The sequence below is a fragment of the Homo sapiens genome, chromosome 10 (assembly GCF_000001405.40).
Source record: "Homo sapiens chromosome 10, GRCh38.p14 Primary Assembly".
Classification (NCBI taxonomy): Eukaryota; Metazoa; Chordata; class Mammalia; order Primates; family Hominidae; genus Homo; species Homo sapiens.
In genome coordinates this window covers 5,337,836-5,340,137 of record NC_000010.11, presented here as the reverse complement: position 1 = coordinate 5,340,137, position 2,302 = coordinate 5,337,836, and the positions used below count along the sequence as shown (strand labels likewise).

Below are 2,302 nucleotides of genomic sequence, written 5' to 3'. Positions count from 1 at the left end.
GAGATGGGGTTTCACCATGTTGGCCAGGCTGGTCTCGAGCTCCTGACCTCCGGTGATCTGCCTGCCTCAGCCTCCCACAGTGCTGGCATTACAGGCGTGAGACACTGCATCTGGCCAATGTTAGGATATTTTCATCATCTCAAAAAGAAATGTGTACCATTCAGCTATCACCACATTATCCCCCAACCTCTCAGCCCTAAGCAACCCCTGGTCTACTTTCTGAATAGGGAAAAAGAGATTTGCCTATTCTGAAGATTTCATAGAAATGGAGTCATGTAATATGTGGTCTTTTGTGTACAATTCAGTGGCACTTAGTACATTCACAATGTGTGCTGTGATCACCTACGTCTCTTTCTAAAACATTTCATCACCCCCAAAGAAAACCCTTTTTCAACTGAGCAGTTACTCCCTATTCCCCTCAACCTCCCCGCCCTTGCCAACTACCAGTCTGCTTTCTGTCTCCATGGACTTACTTATTCTGGATATTTCATATAAATGAAATTGTACACTAAGTGGCTTTCTGTGATTGATGTCTTTTGCTTAGCATTCGGGGTTCGTATATGTTGAAGTATGTATTAGTGTGTCATTGCTTTTCATGGCTGAATAATATTCCATGATATGGATCTATGACATTTTGTTTATCCATACATCAGCTGATGGACACACAGGTTGTATGTCCTGTACAAATAATGCTGTTATAAACATTTGTGTACAAATTTTTGTGTGGACGTGTTTTTATTTCTCTTGGATATATATCTAGGTGTGGGATTGTTGGATCACAGGATAACTTAATTGCTAGAGGAACTGCCTGACTGTTTTCCATCCCCACCAGCAGTGAATGGCCATGCTGACCTTTGGATAAGTGGCATCTTAGTGAGTATAAAGTGGTGGCTCATTGTGGTTTTGATTTGCAGTTCCCAAAGACTAATGATGTTGAGCATCTTTTCAAATGGCATGTGCTTATTGACCATTTGTGCACCTTCCTTAGGGAAATATCTATTCTGATCCTTTGCCCATTAAAAAATTGGGCTATGTGTCCTTTTATTATTGAATTATAAATTCTTTATCATATGTACAATTTGCAAATATTTTTACCCATTCTGTAGGCTATCTTTTCACTTTGTTGATAGTGTTTATTAAAGCACAAAAGTTTTAAATTTGGGTGACATAGAATTTCTTTGTGTATTCTTTTATTGCTTAGGCTTCTGGTGTCACATCCAAGAATTCAGGAGCAAATTGTGGCCACCAGGGCTTCATTTGGCCTTCTACTGGCCAGCTCCTCCCATGGGGTAGTCTGTGGATTCCTATCTGCATTTACAGCCCCCATGTCTTGACCTTGGACTTGTCTGCCAAAGGGCCCCAAGCATGCTTCCTCTGGGTCTTATTTCCTCTGGGTCTGCCCTTTGAGGATGAACCCTTAGGTGGAGAGGTGGCACAGGCAGCTATTTGTGGAGGTGCAGATCAGAAACTTCCTAGGGGCAAATGTCTACCAGTGAAAGAAGCCATGAATGACATGGGCTTAGTACCACTGACCACAGACTGCCTAGAAAGTACTTGGAAGTTATCAGTTGGAGCAAAAAGTGATGGTGGTGAGGAGGTTGCAGGGACAGAATGGGGTAAGATGCTATCAGTTGTCTCAGTGAGGAGGGAGGATGAACACGCTCCTGGGACATAGCACAGTGCCACAAAGGCCAAAGGGCTCCAGACATCACGTACGATGAATCAGTGTGAGCTCCCTAGGTGGGGAGGTGAAGAGAGGTGGCCTGGAGAACCTGCCCAGCCATCAGGATGCTGGCCCACAATGGGCACAAAATACATTAGAAGGAAGGAAGGAAGGTGGGAGAGGAGGGAGGGAAGGAAATAAGGAAGGAAGAAAGGAAGGAGGGAGGGAGGGAAAGAAGGAAGGAAAGAAGGAAGGGAGGAGGGAAGGAAGGAGGAAAGGAAGCAGAGGAGGAAGGAAGGAAGGAAAGAAGTTTCAGAAACAAAGAAAGGAGGGAAGGAAGGAAGGAGGGAAGCAGGGAAGGAAGGAGGGAAGCAGGGAAGGAAGGAGTTAGGAAACAGCCTCCCTAGTTCCCTTATACATAAAGGAAGTTCACTTATGAAGAAATAAAGAAGGTTTTTATAAAATATTAAAAGCTTCTGATTGATCATCAACAGAATTAAAAGTTAGTTGGATTTGAGGGCAAGGAAAGGGACCTCCTATCCGAAATGGCTTCCTTACTATGTACCACATTGCCTCTGAGTGCCCATGAGAGAGGATTCCTTTCGTAAGATGGAAAGAAATGGGTGGTAAGATTTGCGA

General features: G+C 43.8%; 1 annotated feature.

Annotated features, from left to right (window-relative positions):
- Positions 1,590-1,766: a silencer, noted in NCBI's record as "fragment chr10:5380335-5380511 (GRCh37/hg19 assembly coordinates)". NCBI's record gives its function as "represses an EF-1alpha promoter that drives an FKBP-Casp9 reporter gene in an ReSE screen in phorbol 12-myristate 13-acetate-treated (for megakaryocytic differentiation) K562 erythroleukemia cells {active_cell/tissue: K562(+PMA)}" and the evidence as "EXISTENCE:reporter gene assay evidence [ECO:0000049][PMID:32094911]".